This window comes from Homo sapiens, chromosome 18 (assembly GCF_000001405.40).
Source record: "Homo sapiens chromosome 18, GRCh38.p14 Primary Assembly".
In the NCBI taxonomy this organism is placed as follows: Eukaryota; Metazoa; Chordata; class Mammalia; order Primates; family Hominidae; genus Homo; species Homo sapiens.
The window spans coordinates 596,191-617,656 of record NC_000018.10 but is presented as its reverse complement, the minus strand read 5'-3'; the positions used below and the strand labels follow the sequence as shown (position 1 = coordinate 617,656).

Below are 21,466 nucleotides of genomic sequence, written 5' to 3'. Positions count from 1 at the left end.
AATTCGAATCTGTTAGAGGGATTTTTTTCCCTCCAAAATTCTTTTTTTTTTTTTTTTTTTTGAGACGGAGTTTTGCTCTTGTTGCCCAGGCTGGAGTGCAATGGCGTGATCTCGGCCCACCGCAACCTCCACCTCCCAGGTTCAAGTGATTCTCCTGCCTCAGCCTTCCCAAGTAGCTGGGATTATAGGCATGCGCCACCAAGCCCGGTTAATTTTGTATTTTTAGTAGAGATGGAGTTTCTCCATGTGGGTCAGGCTGGTCTCGAACTACTGACCTCAGGTGATCCGCCCCCCTCGGCCTCCCAAAGTGCTGGGATTACAGGCGTGAGCCACCACACCTGGCATTTCCCTCCAAAAGTCTATGTTCTCAAGTGAGTTTTTACCTACGTGGTTCGCTATTATTTTTAAAGAAAGCAAAACCAACCACACACATTTTTCTCATACTCCTTATAAAACCCATTATGCTATGTGAATAGTGCACAGTTAAAATTTTTTCTTCTCAGTTAATGAATTTCCCTTTGAGTTTAATTCGATACACATTAGTTATAAATATTCTAAATACAGAGGTTAAAACTTTACTAAGAAAAGTTAAATAAGTTAGAATAGTCGTATGCTTTAATAAAGTTAAAACTATAAAATAAGTTAGATTATTTTAACTCCCACAAAGGGGATATTTATCTGCTTTACGTATATTTACTATTTTAAAAAGAAAACAACCACAGAAACCTCCATTATTTGATCAACATTTGGAATGTCTTTTTAATACAGTCGTAAACTAGCAACTGTACTAGTAATTATGCAGTTATCACATTTTACATACATCATTTCAACTAACTCTTCTTCTATCATTACTCTATTTACAAAACAAAACTTATTAATATAGTGTATTTACCACTAACTTTGCAATATCTCCCCAGTGAAGTTGCCACCAGCTTCTGGAAGGACCTTCGTTTTTCTCTGCTTTAATTTTCATCCGTGTCAGGGATTTAGCTGTGTCCTATCAGTTTGATGACACAGTGTTTAATCCTATTAACCCAACATTTTGAGATTTACAACTATGATCTAAAATTTGGTACTGTTCAGAAGAAAACACTAGAGGGCAGGCTGTGTACACAATTGGCAACAGTGACCTTGGGCTACCTTCCTATATACAAATGTGTTTTGATAGGACTCATTAAAACCTTAAAAATATTTTTTTAATTTTCAATTTAAAATATGTAGTTTCCTATGTAAGCAAAATTAGTCTCTTAGATTGAAAATACTATAAGCCACAATGTGAAAGTGAGTAAACTCTTAGATAAAACAGTTCGAAAAGTGTATTTACACAGTCATGTGGCATCTTTGTTTGTTTGTTTTCTCGTTTGGCATTTTTTGACTGTTAGTATATGAAGCGATATAACCAACTAAAGTGATAAAGTCTAGCATATACATAATGCAATAGATAAGTATTTTAGACCCACCGTAATTTGCTACTTGATTAGCTGAACTGAAAATGTAGCCCTTAATGATTCATTTAAAAACAACTTAGACAGCTGTTAGTCATGATAGCCAACTCTGGAATCTACACGATGGGTCTCTCTGGCAACTGAAATCTCAAGATCACCTGCGCCCTGTTTGCAAGTTTTGAGAGACTAGCCAATCCATCCTTACTATGTACTCAGCACTTGTCCAAGCAGGTCAGACCTTGACAATTCTGAACTGGGCCACCTGCCTTTTAGGCGCCCTATGACGTTGGTCCTGGTCTCTGAGCAACATGCAGTCTGGAGTTTATCTTTGCTCTGCCTGGGCACAGAGAGTGACACACATTCAAGGCCCAGCCACACCCCATGTCAGCTGCCTTGATTACCCACTAATTCCCTCTTTTAGCTGGAAAACTCTTAGCTCTCTTGGAAAACAGATCAGCTCATAGCAAAACTCGAACTATTATTATTTTAAACAGCCTAATGTCACTTATGAGCAACTACAATCCACACCTATAAACAGATGTGTCCTATCCTGAAAGATGCATGGTTGGCCAATGGAAGAGGCAGCACTTTGGGTATTTTTCTCAGGAAGAGCAGAGCAGAGTCCTGGAAAAGTTGGTCATAGGAAATTGTCCAGCTTTTACCCTGACTCTGTGCACCATTGCTCATTAGTTTACCACTGTCCAAGTTTGGGCCCGTTTGACATCAAGGCTGGCATCTGCGTGTTCTTTTTCAACAGACCCAAATTTTGTTGAAAACGGAACCAGTTTTCAGGAAGCAAAACCAATCACACACATAGAAAGATGGCTTACTTCCTAGTAGCAGATTTTTTTCTTTAATCCATGTTCCTCCTTTAAGAGCAATTTCTCAGAACAGAACTTTATTGCTAACTAGTACTAATTACTTTGAAAATATCTCGAAGCTTCCAAAAAGGCTCTTCCTCTAATTACTTCATCTGTTTTCACAGCTGCCATTTTGTTCTTAAGATTAAGCAATACTTCATGTGAATCCGGTCACTTTCATAATTATGACATCATTATGCTCAAGATTTAAGGGGATTACAAAATATTGTAGATAGCTGCTTGATAATTAAGGAGATTTAGAAGCAAAGTCATCTTAATTAAGAAAGATGGCAAGAGGATGCATGTGGCATCAACTGGAAAATAGAGGAATCAGATGGATTTCAAAATGTCAGGTTTATTGTTGCTAAGTTCAGGCTTGGACAGAGCATCTTAGATGCATGGCCATAAAGGTCTTGCTAATATGTCACCCTTGAGTTAGACTTGCCCATCCTGCCACTGGCATAGCCAGACAACCTCTGGGCTTCCAACTGGGACATTTGGCCAGGAGCAGACTAGGAAGCCTATATACTGCTCAGGCTGTGTCTTATATAGAACCAGCTCCAGGATACAATGACAGTGGTCCCTGCAGTTATGTAACCTAAGAGTGCATGTGTCCTGTAGACACCAGCTAGGATTTGCTGTCCTGCACCAGTAAGGTCTCAAAAAGACAGAAAGAGGGCAAATCTCTAACGAGTTCTCCTCAACTGAGATCCACAGACTAAGAACATGAATCAAATAGCACTCTGCTTTGCAGGGTGAGAAATGGGAGGGTGAGAGGCCAGGGGTGTTAGCCTGGTAGAAGTCCTTCCACAGTCACAAGAGGCAGTCCTCCTCCTCTGGCCCACTGAAAAAAAGTTGAGGAGAATATGCATAAGAGAAGTAAAACAAAAGATAAAGTATAAGGATCTAAATAAATTATCCACGTAGAATATAATAGCAGCTGTCATCAGACTTATCCTTCCTTTCCTTCCTCTCTTCTTTTTCCTTCCTTCCTTCCTTCTTTCCTTCCTTCCTTCCCTCCCTTCCTTCCCTCCCTCCCTTCCTTCCTCCCTTCCTTCTTTCCTTATGTCCATTTATTCAGCCATTCATTTAATAAACTTAAAGAAAATTATTCACAATAATAAGCAAAATTTTAGAAGCAGAGTGTAAATCCTCAATTAAAAATTTCCTCCTTTGCAGGCAAAGGTTGGCTAACTCACTTGCTGGAAAGGACCGATGGACATAAAGATCACTGACTTAAGAGGTCAAATTGCATCAACTTCCTTGCCACACGATTGTCTCATGGTCCTGTCCACTTGGACCTCATCGTCCTCTCATAAAAAATGCAATTATTGGAAGAAATATTTCCAGCTGTTACTCCCAGCTCTGAAGTTCTGTGATTATTATTCACATATTCTCACCAAGCTCTCGTACATAGCTGGAATGTACGAAATGATTTGACATGACCTGTAAAATGAAGAATTACAGCTACTCTATCTTGCTTAGAGATTGCTGAGCAGGTCAAATTAGTTATTATAAATGAAAATGTTTTATTGAGCCACACAGAGTGCAATGTCATTGGAAGGTAGACCAATAACCTTTTTAAAAAATTCAGACTAGGCCAGGCACAGTGGCTCAGGCCTGTAATCCCAGCATTTTGGGAGGCTGAGGCAGACACATCACTTGGGTCAGGAGTTTGAGACCAGCCTGGTCAACATGGTGAAACCCCATCTCTACTAAAAATACAAAAATTAGCTGGGGGTGGTGGCAGGTGCCTGTAATCTTGGCTACTCGGGAGGCTGAGACAGGAGGATTGCTTAAACCTAGGAGGCGGAGGTTTCTGTGAGCTGAGATAGCGTCACTGCACTCCAGCCTGGGCAACAGAGCGAGACTCCATCTCAAAAAAAAAAAAAATTCAGACTAAACTAAAATTATTGCCAGGCACAGTGGCTCATGCCTGTAATCCCAACACTTTGGGAGGCCGAGGCAGGCAGATCACTTGGGTCAGGAGTTCAAGACCAGCCTGGCCAACATGGTGAAAGCCCATCTTTACTAAAAATACAAAAATTAGCTGGGTGTGGTGGCACGCACCTATAGTCCCAGCCACTCGAGAGGCTGAGGCAGGAGAATCGCTTGAACCTGGGAGGTAGAGGTTGCAGTGAGCTGAGATTGCAGCAGTGCACTCCAGTCTGGGCAACGAGAGCAAGACTCCATCTCAAAAAAAATACAATAAAATAATTGTTTTAGTTTCATATAACATAAGTAGCAAAAGTAGGCATTGAATCTAGACTTCAAATCCTTTCATGAAAAAGATCTAGTTTGAATACAAAATGAGAAAATTATATTCCACTTCACCATCATCATGAAGCCAGAATTTATCTGTTTAGATCAGCACTACACAAATTTAATTATTGATTAGGATGTATATAAATATCAAGTACATTTAAAATTTCCATTTTACCCAGAATAGTGCTTCTCTTGCTTCCAGCAAGTTCAACCCTTGGAATAGTTTATTCGGCAAATGTATCAGGCACTCATTACATTCTGCACCGGAGATACAGTGGTCTCTGCGTTGCAGGTGCCCACGCTGCGTTCCAAAGGGAGGGAACTGGACAATACACAAATAAATATAGAAGCCAGAATGTATAAAAGCATGACAACTGTTATGAAGAAAATTAAGTGGGAATGATGGGATAGCCAGTAACTTAGAAGGGGAGGAGCTACTTGAGGATAAGTGGCCGAGGAAGGCCTCTTTGAGGAGGAGACTTCTGATACAATCCCTGAAAGTAGAGCCAGCTACACAATTTTCAGGACCCAGTGCAAAATGAAAATACGGGCCCCGTGTTCAAAGAGTATTAAGAGTTTCAAGATGGCAACAATAGATCCAAACCGAGTACAGATCCCTTCTGAGCGAGGGGTGCACGTGGCACATGTGTGAAGCCGGCTGGCCTGAAAGACAAGGAGCACGCCTCTTCTGAGATCTGAGAGCAAGTGCAAGAGGAGTGGGAACAAACTTGGCCAAGTGTGGCAGAGTGCAGTGAGAGAAGAAGTGTGATATTGGCTGGAGATCAGAAATGTGCATATCCTGTAAGTAGGGCAGGGTAAAAAGTCAGAAATACATACATTTTTTGAAGCAAGACTGGATAATTGTGGAGGATTTCCCAAAGGGCAACAATAATGCACTGGTTTTAAAAGGCCACTGTTGTTGTCCTGAGAAGAATGGACTATGGGAAAGCAAGGTAGAAGGGAAGCCAGTTAGGAAGCTGTTTTAATCACCAGGAAAGAGATAATGGTGCCTCTTTGGAGAATGAGAAGTGGTGAGATTTGGAACTTATTTTGGAGATGGGACTGGACTGTGAGGTGAGGGGAAGTGCAGAATCAAAGGTGGCTGCTGGATTCTTGACTTGAGCTTTGGATGGGGGATGCCATTTTTTGAGATGAGAAAGGCCGGGGCAGAGTGTAGTGGGGGCCATTGGCTGGCACAGGCCTTTGCTCATGCTCCAGGAACCCCCTACCCAGTCCACCAGGGTCTAACTCTCACTACCAACAAGAATTTTTGTTGCTAAAGTCATCAAGAAGCCAATGATGACCAAATCCACCGGTGACTTTCTATCCTCTTTCTTACTTATTGTCCTTGTGGAATTGGATGAGCAACTGATTTTAAAGCATCTCTTTTTGTGTAAATGATGCCATTAGCTCTTGGTCCTCCTCTTACCTCTCCAACTTCTTTTATTTGTAGCAGGATGTGGTTACCTTTCCCTTAATTTTTAAATTTATTAAAAAATATTTTTGTCCCTAGAAACAGGGTCTTGATATGTTGCCCAGGCTAGAGTGCAGTGGCTATTCACAGGTGTAATCATAGTGCTCTATAGTCTCCAACTCCTGGGCTCAAGTGATCCTCCCGCCTCAGCCTCCTGAGTAGCTGGGATGACACGCTGGAGCCACCATGCCTGAGCCCTCCTAATCCTTTTAATTCTATCCCCTTCTCACTGGCAAAACAGGATGGGTTCTTCAACCTCTCGATCTTCTTTATTTTATCCATCCCAATCTGCCACAGAAAGAGGGTCTTTAAGGATAATAATGAAGCCCAATTATGCTATGAGAGGCAATCTGTACTACTAAAAAAAAAAAAAAAAAAGGTGGGGGGTGGGTTATCTTGTAGGTGCTCCTTTCTGAAAGATGCAAAGGTGCAGGTGAGCTGTAATAGGTGGCACAGGGCTCTCCCTGTGCTGGGCTGAGCCAGGGCCACAGAGGGAAGGGGAGTAGGAAAGGAAAGTGTGAGGGAGACCAGGAGGAAGGGAGCAAGGAGCATGGGAAGTGGACTTGGGACCGGCCAGAAGGTGATCTGGGAGGAGCAGCCAAGACGTAGGACAGGAGCCTCAGAATTCCAGGCAAATTTTTGATTAGCTGCTGGTAAGAGTGGGCTCACCCAACCCATGTTGGCTCCAGCAGCCAGGTTATGCATTCATCTCTTTTTTTAATGTTTAATTTTTATTTTTTTAGAGGCAAGGTCTCACCATGTTTCCCAGGCTGGTCTCGAACTCCTGGACTCAAGAGATCCTCCCACTTAGGCCTCTCAAGGTGTGGGGATTACAGGCGTGAGCCACCTCCCCCAGCCTTGGATTCATCTCTGTTACGGTATTTGCTGAGTGTCTACTACGTACTATGTGTCAGGCTCTGGTGTCAGACACATGACACCTGCTCAGTCTCATTCCTGACCCTTCTTCCTCTGTCCTCCGTCAGATGTTTCTCTTCCCTGGGGCTTTGTCCTGGGTGCTCTTATTTCTACTGCCTGAAACTCTCTTTCGATGAAGTTACCTGGAACCACAGACAGGCAAAGACAACCTTCTACCGGCTGTCTCTCTGTCGGCACAGCCCTCAGGGATTTCAGTTTCAACAGTTCCTAACCCAGCTTTTTCCCCTAAGCTCGCCCTGCCATATCTCCCTGTCACCAGATCCAGACATTTGGGAATCATCCCAGACTTCTCTGTCTCCTTCAATCCAGTGGCCAACCCAAGCAGACCGCCAGATGTATTGCATCTGGGCCCGTGCATTATAAAGGCCCACATGAATGGAAGACTATTGAGTCTTCGAAGTGCCGCGCTTTATTTTTGAGTAAGCTAAAGCAAATAGAAATCGGTAGACTAAACAAGCAAAATCATACATAATTAAATATCAAGTTTTTCTTTAAATTCTGGCCACATTATTATGACCCTGGCAAATGTGTTTTAATTTGGTTCTTGATCTGCATGACAGCAGGATGGGTAAAATACCATAAGTATTTGATAACATAGAGGAATGAATCGTTCTATCCCTTGTACAGTAACATTTAAGTCTCATCCTCTAATCCATAATTGGCCAAGTTGTTCCAAGTCCAAATTAATTAAGGAAATATAAACAGGAGCATATATATAGTATTGGAATATCTCACTTGTTTTGTTAAGTTTGTCCTGAGCAAATCGGATTTTCTTTTCAGCTTGAACACACTTAATGCAAAATCCAAAATCCAAAATGCTCCAAAATCTAACCTTTTTTTTTTTTTTTTTTTTGAGACAGAGTCTCGCTTTGTCACCCAGGCTGGAGTGCAATGGAGTGATCTCTGCTCTCTGCAACCTCTGCCTCCCAGGTTCAAGAGATTCTCCTGCCTCGGCCTCCCGAGTAGCTGGGATTACAAGCATGCACCAACATGCCAGGCTAACTTTTTTATTTTTAGTAGAGACAGGGTTTCACCATGTTGGCCAGGCTGGTTTTGAACTCCTGACCTCAAATGACCCACCTGCTTTGGCCTCCTAAAGTGATGGGATTGCAGCCATGAGCCACCATGCCTGGCCAATCTAAACTTTTTAAGCACAGAGAGACAAGTGGAAAATTCTACACTTAACCTCATGTGATGGGGTCACAGTCAAAATGCAGGCACATAATACACAATTTATTCCGTGTCCCCAAGGGAAAAAAAGGACCCTCCCAGCTCCTTTCTGCTGCAAAATAGCTTTTCTGAGCATGCCAGATATATATGTCATATTTTTTACTAAGTGCTCTTGTGTGAATAAGTGTAAGAAAATGATTGCTTGTCAGTAGCGTATAAATTCGGAATCAGGAATGAAAGACAACTACAGAGTGTCCTTGTGGGTGGCTGAGACAGGGACACCTTGCTTCCTGATGGTTCAATGTATACAAACTTTGTTTTATGTGGAAAATTATTAAAAATATTGTGTAAATTTACCTTCAGGCTACGTGTATAAGGTGTATATGAAACATAAATGAATTTTGTGTTTAGATGTAGGTTCTATCCCCAAGATATCTCATTGTGTATATGCAAATATTTCAAAATCCCAAAACATCCAGAACCTGAAACACTTTGGCGTCACGCATGTAAGATAAGGAATACTCAGCCTATATATGGAAAAAAGAATCCTTGTGTGCTGACTCTGTGGATTATTGGACGATAAAGAAAATAGATTTAGATTATTATAATGGTATTATAATGGTCAAGTAAATTATATGCATGTCTTATAAATAGATCAACAGGCCTTATGAAAACTCTTTGGTTATTGCCAGATTTTTATCTAAAAGGCAGTGAGAGACCCAGGCCAAAGGAGACAGATTGTCTGCCATGCTTGAAAGAACTATACTTATTTGTTTGTTTGTTTGTTTAGAGACAGAGTCTCACTCTGTTGCCCAGGCTGGAGTGTAGTAGTGAGATCATGGTTCACTGCAGCCTCGACCTCCTGGCCTCAAGTGATCCTCCCACCTCAGCCTCCTAAAGCACTGAGACTACAGGCATGAGCCACTGCACCTGGTGGACAAAGCTTTAATATTGAACCACTTGTTAGCCAAAATGTCACAGAAGTTGTTTGTTTGTTTGTTTGTTTTAATCAAAATTGTGAATTAATATGACTTTTCTTACAGTAGATGAAGTGAATAATTTTTAAAACTATGTGTCTGCATTAAAAAACAAAACAAACACCTCCCTGATCACCAAGATCGGATAATACCTAGGGGGTTTTTAGGCCTCTTCATTTGTCAGGGTTCTGGAATAAAACATAATTATTCTCACTTGGGTAAGGGGAGGAAACAATGATTCTGGAGCTCAGTGAGAGCCAGAGCGGGGACCGTGGTTGCCTTGTGGGAGCAGTAGCCTTCAAGGGGAACCCAGGAAACCAGCAGACTGAGACCCTGAGATGCCAACTCAGGGTCAACCTCCCAAAGGCACAGAGCAAGACAGGGAAGTGAGAGCACGGGCAGCCACAGACAGAGCACCCAGCACAGCCTCACTCTGCTTTAGTCTGGCATGCATCTGACGGTTCCCTGATGGTCACTAATGCTTTTTAGGTGGCGGGACGGCAGTTCATCCCTCTGCACTGTGCAACTGATGACTGCTCAGATACGTACAAAACTTTGAGGACTATATATAGCTGTTGACTTTTTTTTCACCCTAGATCCTAATTAATTACTACAAAGAGGCAATTGGGTGAAGTGCACAAATGGCACAGAAGAAGTTTTAGAGCCAGTGGTGGCAGTGTGTGCCTGTAATGTCATCCCAGCTACTCAAGGAGGCTGAGGTGGGAGGATCGCTTAACACCAGGAGTGGAGACCAGCCTGGGCAATATAGCAAGACCCCAATCTCTTGAAAATTTTTTAAAAAGACTGGGCACAGTAGTTCACTCCTATAATCCCAGCACTTTGGGACGCCAATGTGGGAGCATCACTGGAGCCCAGGAGTTTGAGACCAGCCTGGACACCAGGGTGAGACCCCGTCTCTACAAAAAAATTTTAAAAAATTAGCTAGGTGGTGGCATGCACCTGTAGTACCAGCTAAACAGGAGGCTAAGGCTCACTCGAACCCAGGAGATCAGGGCCGCACTGAATCGTGATTGCACCACTACACTCCAGCCCAGGCAACAGAGCTAGACCTTGTCTAAAACAAAATTATAAAATAAAATAGGCTGGGCGTAGTGGCTCACGCCTGTAATCCCAGCACTTTGGGAGGCCACGCCGGGTGGATCACTTGAGGTCAGGAGCTCGAGACCTGCCTGGCCAACATGGTGAAACCACATCTCTACTAAAAATACAAAAATTAGCCGGACGTAGGTGGTGCAAGCCTGTAATCCCAGCTAGTAGGGAGGCTGAGGCAAGAGAAACCCTTAAATCTGGGAGGCAGAAGTTGCAGTGAGCTGAGATCGTGTCACTGCATTCTGGCCTGGGTGACAGAGCTAGACTCTGTCTCTAAATAAATAAATAAATAAAAGATAGACGGGTATAGCGGTGCATACCTGTAGTCCCAGGTCCTCATGGGGCTGAGGTAGGAGGGTCACTTGAACCCAGGAATTTGAGGCTTCAGTGAGCTATGAACATGCCACTGAACTCCAGCCTGGCAACCGAGAGGGACGCAACTCTAAAGAAAAGAAAAGAAAAAAGAAAAGAAATTTTAGGGAGCCGCCTAAAATTATTACAAATATTCTATGAACACTGCAAAGTAGTGAGCACTGAGGGTGAACTGGCCTTGCCTTGTGGGGGGTGCTGGTGGGGGAAGGCAGATGCCCAAGAACATTCCTGCTCTAAACACTCCGGGAGAATCATATCTCACGTTTATTTTTGTTTGTGTGTATATGTTTGTTGTTTTACGTTTTATTATATAATCCTCTTTTTCTTTTCTTCTCCAAGCCTTTGATAAAATCTCTTTCATTTGAGAAGACTCCAATAGCCTTTTGGCTACACTGAAAGAAGCCGGTGGTTGTTCTGGGGCGAGCCCTGGGTGAGAAAGCCAGGCTTGATTACTGGGAAGCTGACTGATGTTTTGGCTTCTCCTGACCAGGGGTGAGGACAAGGAAGATGGGGTGGGTTGGGGGACAGCCAGAGTCTCAGAGCTGTGGGTTCCGGGACTTTGCAAAGAAATGTCATGAAGAAAGAACTCCGATTTGAACGGAAGCTGGACTTCCACGTTGTGGACGATGGGCTGGTCCTAAGAGGGAGGTGGCCAGTAGGTTCCCTCAGAGAAAGGTTGGTGACATGGAAAATCGTTTCCTGCCCTGTGCTGTTTTTCCCCTAGAGTCAGTGGTGGGGAGTTAGGAGTCAGGCTGTGCACATCTTGGAAAAGGGGGATTGAGGGACTGTGGCCGTCCTTCTCCCTGTTGTGGGTCTGCACTGTGGTGGTAGTGTCATGCCAAGAGAGGACCCTGACCTAGGAGCATGGGGAAGCCGTTCCCAGCCAGAGGCGCTAAATACCATCTGGGGGAGGGGTGTTCTTCCTGCCACCCTTAGGGGAGGACTTGCATATTCTTATTTGGTATATTCTTAAATATTCTTCCAGAGTGATCTTGGAAGGCAGAAAAACTAGGGAACATTTGGGTAACGTGTAAATTCATTAAAACATAGAATAAAAAAGAAAAGAAAAAACGACTACACTGGGGCTGGGTGTGGTGGCTCACGCCTGCAATCCCAGCACTTTGGGAGGCTGAGGAGGGTGGATTGCTTGAGGCCAGGCATTCAGGCAACATGGCAAAATCCCATCTCTACAAAAAATACAAAATTATCTGGACATGGTGGCGCACACCTGTAGTCCCAGCTACTCTGGAGGCTGAGTTGGGAGGATGGCTTGAACCTGGTAGGCGGAGGTTGCAGTGAGCCAAGATCGTACCACTGCACTCCAGCCTGGGTGACAGCGCAAGACCCTTTCTCAAAAATAAAACAAACAACAACAAAAAAACCACTATACTGGAATTACTCTAAAGTAGATGATACAAAATACCATGCATGTTTTCCTGATATGTATCCTTTATCATTTTCTTTTTTCTTTTTTTTTTTGAGACAAGGTCTCATTCTGTCACCTAGGATTTCCCACCCTAACTTCCCAAGTAGCTGGGACTACAGGCTTGGGCCACCACACCTGGCTAATTTTTGTATTTTTTGTACACACAGGGTTATACCATATTGCCCAGGCTGGTCTCAAATTCTTAGGCTCAAGCAATCCACCCACCTAGGCCTCCCAAAGTGCGGAGATTACAGGCGTGAGCCACCACACCCTGCCTCATTTTCATTTTTGACACTTTCCGTGACTGTACAGAATGTTCCTTCTTCAAATTAAAAGTAATTTAAAAACTATTTGAGGAATGCCATGATACAAGAATGCTTAATAGTAATAGCACATTGTAGAATAGGAGCCCAAACAACTAAAAACACAGAATTTTTAGAACAGCGATATCTTTTAAAATGTCAAATCAAAACAAACACCATTTTAAGTTTACTTAAATATTTAAAATGATTGTACTGAGAACCATTGTCTGTATGTCTTTAGTATTGTTGAAAGGAGTTAGCCAGCTTGCTTTAGGCAGAAAGTAAAGGAAGGGTCCCCGGAGAACCTCCAACCCATGTTTTGTGCAGATAAGGGAACGTGCACAGGGAGCTTGTCTAAACATGTCCCTAGTGGACGAAGGTCCCACATACGCACTGGGGGAGGGCGGTGGAGCCACCAGGAATTCATGCCTTATACGAACAGGGAACTCGGCCCCATCAGGTTTTATATAGAAGCCCTTGTATTCAACTACGAAGGGGCAACCAGCAACCTGCTTTCAGGACCCCACTCTTTCCTGAGAGCTTTCCTTTTTGCTTAATAAATTCTATGCCACTCATTCTTTGATGTCAGGGTACCTAGTTCTTCCTGGTCATAAGATAAGAACACAGACCTAACTGAGCTAAGGAGCAAAAAATTCTGCATCACTGTTGTCAAGTTTTACTTTAGATTTTAAGTTCATAGTTTATGTTAAATTACTGTTTTCATTTGAAAAGGATACTATTTGGTTATTAATAAAGTGTGTGTATGTATATATAGAAATATATGTATGAAACAAAATAAACTCTTTTTGTGGTACTTGCTGGCTGCACATTGCATTGAGGGTTACTTTTTACTACTTATGCCACTCTTCATCCCACATAGCTGATCACTAAATCCTATCCATTCTATTCCATTCATTCATACAAAAAGTATCCATTGTATATGAATCTTCATAGTAACTTTGTTCATAATAGCCCAAAACTGGAAACTTGGAAGCCACCCAAATGTCCTTCAATGGGTTGAATGTGATGAATAAACTCTAGCACCTCCAAGCCATGGAATACTACTCAGCAACTGGAAGGAGTGAAGTATTGATACACACAACTTGGATGAACTTCAAAGAAAGTATGAATGAAAAAGCTGGTGGAGGTGGTGGCTCATGCCTGTACTCCCAGCATTTTGGGAGGCCAAGGCGGTTGGATCACTTGAGCCCAGGAGTTCTAGACTAGCCTAGGCAAAATGGTGAAACCCCATCATTATAAAAATACAAAAAATTAGCCAGGTGAGGTGGCGTGTGTCTGTAGTCCCAGCTACTCAGGAGGCTGGGGTGGAAGGATCACCTGAGCCCAGGAGGTGGAGGCTGCAATGAGCCAAGATCACGACACTGCACTCCAGCCTGGGTGACAGAGTGAGATCCTGTCTTGCTCTGTTACCAATCCCAAAAGATACACACTGCATGTACCCATCTACAAAATGTTCGTGAAATAGAATAATTATAGAGATGAACAGATTAGTTGTTCCCAGGGGTTAATGATGGAGGAATGCGTGTGGCTATAAGGAGGTAACACCAGAAAATCTTCTGCTAATGGCTTGAATATCTTGATTGTGGTAGCAAAGCTTCACATATGATAAAATTACACAGAGCTATATGCATACACACACACGAGTGCATCTAATAACTGGTGAAATCTGAATAAGCTCTATGGGTTGTAGCAATGTCACTTGATTGTTTTCGATATTATAATATAGTTGCATAAGATGTTAATGATGGAGGAGGCTGGGTAAAGGGTGCATTGTTCTTCCCTACGCATTTCTTTGCAACCTCCTGTGAATCTATCATTATTTCAAAAAAAATTTTTTTAAGTATTTAGGAATTGTCTACACTGTGCTGTGCATTTTCTTCCTTTGTATTTGTCTCCTCATTTACCTCCCTACTTCTGCCCTGTTTTAGGCCCTTCCCACCTGTCTCTGACTTGTCTATTCTGTCTCAAATGTATCTTCCATGCTCCTATCAGAGGGATCTTTTAAACCAATGCTTCTTAAACTCTACCATACAAATGGGCCACCTGGGATCTTGTTAAAGTGCAGGTTCTGATTCAGTTTGTCTCGGGGACTTGGGATTCTGCATTTCTAACAAGTTCCCAGCTGATGCCAGTGTAGCTGGTCCTGGCTCATACTTTGAGTAGCAAGGATCTTAAGTAATTTTCTTTCATGGTATACCCATACTTAAATCCATCTAGTTGATTCTGATTGTTCACAGAATAAAGTTCAGTCAGAGCATGTACCTCTTTGCTCAAAAGTCTCTAATGACACCCCAGTGACCCTCAGAATAAAATCCAAATGCTTTACAATTACCTACAAGGTCCTGCAAGACCTTCCCCACCCTGAAACTCTCTGACCCCAGCTCCTATCACTCTCTCCTTTTCCACTCCACCTCTAGCTTCCAGATGTCCTAAATGCTAACACTGGCATGAATGCACAGTAGTTTATTTTCCCTCCTTGCTGTATATTGCCCCTTCTAGGTCTTTCTCCCCTTTGTTTCTTATCCTTCAGTGTTCAGCTCAAGATGCATTTACTTATCTCTGTTACATGGGCACTCTTGATGGTGCGAAAATGCGCCATTTATTGCCCCATTCTACTTGTGTATACCTCTATTATTACCTGTCTCTTCCTCTATTTCAATAATTTATTTTCCTATTGAATCAGGGTCTACACAGGAAACAGAAGGCACATCAGAGGAAATTATGAAAATAGCTTTATGCAGAAACTGTTTTCAGAAGTGGGCAGTTAAGGGAGTCTGTTATTGGATACAGGAACCCAGTGAGAGCCAGAGCCTTGGAGGAGGGAACTGCAATTGCAGAGGAACAGCCAGAGCTGCCACGCCAAAATGATGCCTCCCATTGGCTGAACTCAATCAGAAGCCACAGAGCAATGAGCCACAGTGATCCAGCCCCCCTTCCTGGAGGCAGGGAGAGGGGAAGAAATAGAGAATAGATCTGGAGGAGAGGGGGAGAACAGAGACCAACCAGCACACACTAAATCTCTGTACTAAATGAAAGGTTCCTGAGGGCAAGACCAATTCTCTTTCATCCCTGTAGCCCCACATGTAGCACAAGGTTTAGCCTAGAGTAAGTATTCAGTAAATCTTTGTGAAAGCAAACTACAATGTCAGGGCATGTATTGCATTTAACTTAGTATTTTAGGGAAGGCAGGCAGGAAGGCAAGCAAGTTGTTCATTACCTCTTTTAAATTTTTTTTTCTTTCATAGAGATGAGGTCTCGCTTTGTTGCCCAAGCTGGTCTTGAGCTCCTGGCCTCAAGTGGTCCTCCCACCTCAGCCTCCCAAAGTACTGGGATTCCAGGCATGAGCCACCACGCCTGACCCTGTCTGTTACCTATTTTGGCCAATTTTCATTTATGTTCACACAAGACTTTTTTATACTTTTCTTGGTATATCTAATTTATGTGTTCATTTATTTATGTATTTATTTATTTTTTATTATTTTTATTTTTTGAGATGGAGTCTCGCTGTGACACCCAGGCTGGAGTGCAGTGGCACGATCTCGTCCCACTGCAACCTCCGTCTCCTGGGTTCAAGCGATTCTCCTGCCTCAGCCTTCCAGGTAGCTGGGATTACAGGCATGTGCCACCACATCCAGCTAATTTTTTTTTTTTTTGAGATGGAGTCTCACTCTGTTGCCAGGCTGGAGTGCAGTGGTGTGATCTGGGCTCACTGCAACCTCCGACTCCCTGGTTCAAGCAGTTCTCCTGCCTCAACCTCCTGAGTACCTGGGATTACAGGCACACTTCACCACGCACAACTAATTTTTGTATTTTTAGTAGAGACAGGGCTTCATTCACCATATTGGCCAGGCTGGTCTCAAACTCCTGATCCCAAGGGATCCAACCACCTCAGCCTCCCAAAGTACTGGGATTACAGGTGTGAGCCACCGCGCCCGGCCAGTATATCTAAGTCAGATGACAACAGCACAAGAAGGACAGAATTCACTGGAAAGGTTCATTTTGATCATCCTATTTTGCTGAGTTCAGGCTAATATCTCCAGAAGTGACACAAACTTGGAAACAGAAATATCCATGTGGGGCTATCAGCACAAGATACAAAGCATGAAAACCACAAAATATTTCAATCAGTGATGCTCATCTATCAGTTGAACAATATCACCTCCAGAAAGTGGCATACATTAGACAATTAATAAAAGCTTCTTGACTGTCTAGAGTCAGGTAAGCCGAGGATATTTTTGAGGCACGAAGTAATCCAGATATTTTAATGAGACAGATGAGGCCATTGGGTAGGGTGATCAACCGTCCCAGTTTGCCTGGGACTGTCCTGGTTTTAGTACCCATTGTCCCTCAGCCTGGGAAACCCTGAGTCCTGGGTAAACAGGGACAGTTAGTCACCCTATGATTACAGCCAATTTTTTAAAATGTAGATTTTTATTTCTTATGATATAGCTTCAGTGAGAGGTATTATTCAAAGATGATTAAGCCATTACAGCTCTTGGACAGTTATCTTGCGTTTTGTAAAACTTGGAACTGTCTCTAACTGGGATCTGGTGACTTCACTGATTATCCAATTAAGAAGTCCTAAGACAAACTTCACTGCCAGTATTCTATTAACCCCAGTCCTTATAAAACTACTTAATCTATTAATTCCTCAGGTGCACAATCAAAACGTACTCTAGCATATTTCTAGAAATAATAAGCCTCTCTTTCCACAAATTTCCTCAGGTTTCTGAGTGTATTTCCAAACACCTCGCCAAGCCTTCTTCTCTGTAAACTGCAAATCCCTTGTTCTAATATTCTACAAGAGAAATATACAGACACAACTACTGTACCACGGACCATTTCAAATCTCTGCATGTGCTAAGCGAGAAAATGGTTGAGAACAATAGAAGACTTTTTGCAGTAAGTCCTTATCCTCAAACTTTTGCCTGAACTGTAGAAACCTGATATGCAATAAATGTCCTGGTCTTGAGCCAGATAAACTCCATTACAGTGAGAAACATCATACAGAGACTGATTTATGTGTCCTTCATGTCTGTCCAGGAAATATTTAGCCAATATGTAGTATTTACAATGTATGAGAGATTTTAGGGAAAAAAAGGCAAATGGATTGTTCGAATCTTGGTAGGAAAGGCTAATGCTACTGAAGCAAATAAAAAATAAAAAATAAAACCCAACTGCTGAGTTCAGTCACAACATGCAAGTGATCATCCATCTAACAACAGTTTGCTTTTAGGAAGAATAGATAAACCAGTCACCAAAACTATCATCAGCCTATGTGATGTGCTACTAAGGGAAATAATTCAGTTCATACTTCGGGTTTAAATTATTATTAATTTTTTTTTTTTTTTGAGATGAAGTCTGGCTCTGTAGCCCAGACTGGAGTGCAGTGGCGCGATCTCGGCTCACTGCAAGCTCCGCCTCCCGGGTTCACACCATTCTCCTGCCTCAGCCTCCTGAGTAGCTGGGACTATGAGTAGCTGGGACTACAGGCGCCCGCCAACACACCCAGCTAATTTTTTGTATTTTTAGTAGAGATGGGGTTTCACCGCGTTAGCCAGGATGGTCTCAATCTCCTGACCTTGTGATCTACCCACCTCAGCTTCCCAAAGTGCTGGGATTACAGGCGTGAACCACCGCACCTGGCCAATTATTATTAATTTTTATCTTTATGACAGTCGTTGACATTTTGGGTAATAAAAATAAATCTGGTGATAAAAATAAATGATTAAAATAAGCAGTCTTAATCATTTGAAAATCAATTATTTCTAAAGTTTAAAAAATTACCTAAACATTTACAATCACCATCACCTGAAAAAGCTAATAATAATAATGAAAGCTATCTTTATTAAGCATCTTCTACTGTCCCAGGCACCACCATGTTAGAAATTTTCCATAGTGCCTCATTTAATCCTTTCAACCTTATGATATGAGTATTACCAATCCTGTTTCATAGATAAATAAGATAAGGATCATAGAGGTTAAGTAATTTGCTCACTATCACAATCTGGTAGACAACCGGAATTTTATCTAACCCAGGTCTCTGTTCTTTCCACAACATCACATAATTACCTTAAAAACAACAACAACAACATACACTTAAAGACATGTAAAAATACTATTCTGGTAACTATATTACTTTGCTTCTATGTAATTTCATTTTATTTTGAGAATTAAGAATGAAGTTAAATAAGAAACCTTATATGGCATTATAAAATCTACTATAATCATTCCTTTTATGTATTGTAGAGGTATTTGTATCTTTAGCGCTTGTTGAATGGTACTAGCTAATAATTGTACTCATTTCTCTAATTTGCTCACATATTTCAATCTCTGAAAAAGTTGCCAAAAGCTGTTAACAGACAACAATGGACATATTTTTAAAGTTTAGTAAATCAGAACAACATAGGCACATGCTAAAGATTAATTTGGAATCATTTACATATATGCCTTCTGAAAAAAAGAAAGAGGGGGTGCTTTTTTTTTAAGTCCGGAAAAAGGAATGCAACCTATTTCTTGCAAGGGCATATGAGTGGATCTCATATTCTCACACATGGCTTTGTTTTCAAATTCTTCAAAGTGCAGAAATTCTTTTAATTTAAAGGTGAGCCCATGGAAAATCTGGACCAGCTGTAGAAAACCATCCAAGAACTCAGTGCCACAGCCACTTTTTTGGTTGTGACACAAACCCCAGGGTGATCTGACCCTCTGCTCACCAGTGTTGTAAATTATCCAAGAGAGGTACTTCTGTTCCCACTGCTGCCTCCATGGAATTCATTGTCTCATTAGCTGATACTGCCTAGAGGATGTTAGAGAGGAACTCAGGCAGCCTTGAGACTCAAGAGAGACTCCAGGCTGTCGAAAGAAGGAAGACTCACAAAGCGTCTAAATTCAGACCCTTTACACTGGAGAGGAAGACTTGGGAAACAGCCACATCTCACTGTTTGAGGGACCTGGAAAAACAGATCATCGTGACTTTCTTCAAGGTCACGCAAAGTTTAAGTGATTTTTACTGTCCCACATTCCAGCATGTCCTCTTCTATGCATTCATTTCCCATGGTAGTTCATCATTCTCTATTTATGGCATTTTTATTAGGTAACAGTATCTCATCTCTTCCCGATAATTGTGCTGCTGCATATTTTTAGAAACTTTTCCACCCGCCATTGTCAGGGACTGAGGAGTTGCATTAATGTTGAGTTTGAAAATTCTGTTCTTGCATCAGGCAGGTAAAAGTGGCCTTATTAGTATTTCTGTTTTCAATGTCTGGAGAAAAGTCCCAGGGAGAGAAAAACAAGATAAAGCATCATGTTGTCCACTGGTAAAATCTGTACGTGGAAAGTAGGCTAAGCTAGAGTAATCGGTTTAAGGTAGCAGTTAATAGTGTCTGCAGCTCTTTACTTCGTTAACCTCAGTTAACCAGGACCTGGCACAATGGGGATTGAAATCAGGGGGCTTATCCACAGTTTCCTCAAATACTGATTTTATCAAGTTGGGCTGATAATTCCATAAACTGTATGAGCATTGATAGTTAGATGTGATCGTTTTCAGAGTGATTCTTTTTCTGCTTGGGTTTATTTATTTATTTATTTTGAGACAGAATCTCACTGTGTTGTCCAGGCTGGAGTGCAGTGGCGCAATCTCGGCTCACTGCAACCTCCGCCTCCCGGGTTCAAGCGATTCTCCTGCCTCAGCCTCCCAAGTAGATGGGATTACAAGCATGCACCACCACAATCGACTAATTTTTGTGTTTCACCATGCCGGCCAGGCTGGCCTCCAACTCCTGACCTCAAGTGATCGGCCCCCCTCGGCCTCCCAAAGTGTTGAGATTACAGGCGTGAGCCACCACACCCGGCTCCGCTTAGTTTTTGCCAGTAGTTTTGCAGGGATGGTGTGTCTCCCCGCCTCTACCTCCTCCTCCTGTTTTGAAAAAGAGAATAAACGTATTGGAACAGCCCAGGAGATTGCCTGAGTTTTGCTGGCAGCCTCTGAAGCAGCCCACAGTATTTCTACCTTCCCCGGCAAGAACAGTGGCTTTGTTCTGTCCGCGCCGGAGGGGCCGGGCGTCTGCGGAGCTCGGCCTTGGACTTGGGAGCGGCTTTCTCTGGCTCTCCGGAGAAATGGGCAAGAGCGGCGAGGAGAGAAATCTGGGGCCCGGAGGATGTTCTCACCTGTCATTCCTAAGATGCGCTTGAGTGCTGCCCCCTGGAGGCGTCTGTGCCACCGGCTGGAAGTCAGCCGAGGGCACAGGGTGTCAGCAACCTCCAGGGTGGAAACCAACCCCGCGGCCCGGGCCTGCAGGTGACGCAGGGTGGGCGGGGCCTGCAGACGCCGGGTGGGCGGGGCCTGCAGGTGACGCCGGGTGGGCGGGGCCTGCAGACGCCGGGTGGGCGGGGCCTGCAGGTGACGCCGGGTGGGCGGGGCCTGCAGACGCCGGGTGGGCGGGGCCTGCAGGTGACGCCGGGTGGGCGGGGCCTGCAGACGCCGGGTGGGCGGGACCTGCAGGTGACGCCGGGTGGGCGGGGCCTGCAGAGGACCTGCGCGTCCGGATCTGAAGCGAGCAGAGCCCTCTCTACTCCAGCTGAACGGTGATGGTCGTCAGGAAGGAATGTGGGCTCACTGTGGAAAGAACATTCAGTTTTTCAAAAGAAGACAGAAATAGGGATGCTTATGTGAAATTCCTGATTTTTCAAACTTGGCAACTTAATTCAGTTAAAAAAAAAAAAGCATTTCTATGGCAGGACCACGAGTCATAGGTAGAACGCCTTGTACACATTAGAAAGAGAGCCTCGCTCTGGGCAGATAAAGCAGGAGGGGAAAAAAGTAGTGGGTCAAAGGTGCCTCTGAGCAGTTGCTCCCCTGCCCGACTGCTGGGCTTAATGCGATGGTCATGGCTGGATGTCAGCCTCCCTGTGGGGACACTGACACAGCTGCAGCAGCCCTGAGAGAGTCGCCAAGTGGGCCTGCCCATGCCAGGTGCTGTCCTTGGGCCCCAGGTTCACAAACTCTGGATGCTGGAACAGGTAGCCAGAGAGGGCAGGAAAGGCAGTGCAACTTGCAAGTCTACCCTTGTTAAAGGGCCCTACAATTGTAAAATTTCATGCCCCCCA

The 21,466-nt window shown here is 43.3% G+C and overlaps 1 protein-coding gene across 12 annotated transcripts in view, besides 4 other annotated features; it reads right to left on the bottom strand.

Moving 5' to 3' along the window:
• Nucleotides 1-20,669, bottom strand: part of CLUL1 (clusterin like 1) — a 53,195-nt gene extending 32,526 nt beyond the window's left edge. For 2 of the 12 annotated variants that reach the window (NM_199167.2, XM_011525648.4), the window contains exon 1: nt 900-959. Coding sequence is in view for 1 of the 12 variants with exons in the window: in XM_011525651.3 (XP_011523953.1) it covers nt 10,558-10,577 (20 nt within the window). In the remaining 11 variants the exon portion in view is untranslated. Of the gene's footprint in view, nt 1-892; nt 960-4,375; nt 4,499-4,745; nt 4,893-5,407; nt 5,509-10,557; nt 10,680-19,074; nt 19,312-20,527 lie in introns of those variants that run through there. The other 10 variants (NM_001393346.1, NM_001393348.1, NM_001393345.1 and 7 more) reach the window with 10 other exon arrangements.
• Nucleotides 12,554-12,848: an enhancer, noted in NCBI's record as "tiled region #12053; HepG2 Activating non-DNase unmatched - State 13:Ctcf, and K562 Activating DNase matched - State 5:Enh". NCBI's record gives its function as "activates a minimal TATA promoter and a strong SV40 promoter by Sharpr-MPRA in HepG2 and K562 cells {active_cell/tissue: HepG2 | K562}" and the evidence as "EXISTENCE:reporter gene assay evidence [ECO:0000049][PMID:27701403]".
• Nucleotides 19,689-20,188: an enhancer, noted in NCBI's record as "H3K4me1 hESC enhancer chr18:597469-597968 (GRCh37/hg19 assembly coordinates)". NCBI's record gives its function as "activates a minimal SCP1, AML or CMV promoter by ChIP-STARR-seq in primed H9 embryonic stem cells {active_cell/tissue: H9 hESC(primed)}" and the evidence as "EXISTENCE:reporter gene assay evidence [ECO:0000049][PMID:30033119]".
• Nucleotides 20,611-20,730: a silencer, noted in NCBI's record as "silent region_9239". NCBI's record gives its function as "represses an Ori minimal core promoter by ATAC-STARR-seq in GM12878 lymphoblastoid cells {active_cell/tissue: GM12878}" and the evidence as "EXISTENCE:reporter gene assay evidence [ECO:0000049][PMID:35858748]".
• Nucleotides 20,791-20,920: a silencer, noted in NCBI's record as "fragment chr18:596737-596866 (GRCh37/hg19 assembly coordinates)". NCBI's record gives its function as "represses an EF-1alpha promoter that drives an FKBP-Casp9 reporter gene in an ReSE screen in K562 erythroleukemia cells {active_cell/tissue: K562}" and the evidence as "EXISTENCE:reporter gene assay evidence [ECO:0000049][PMID:32094911]".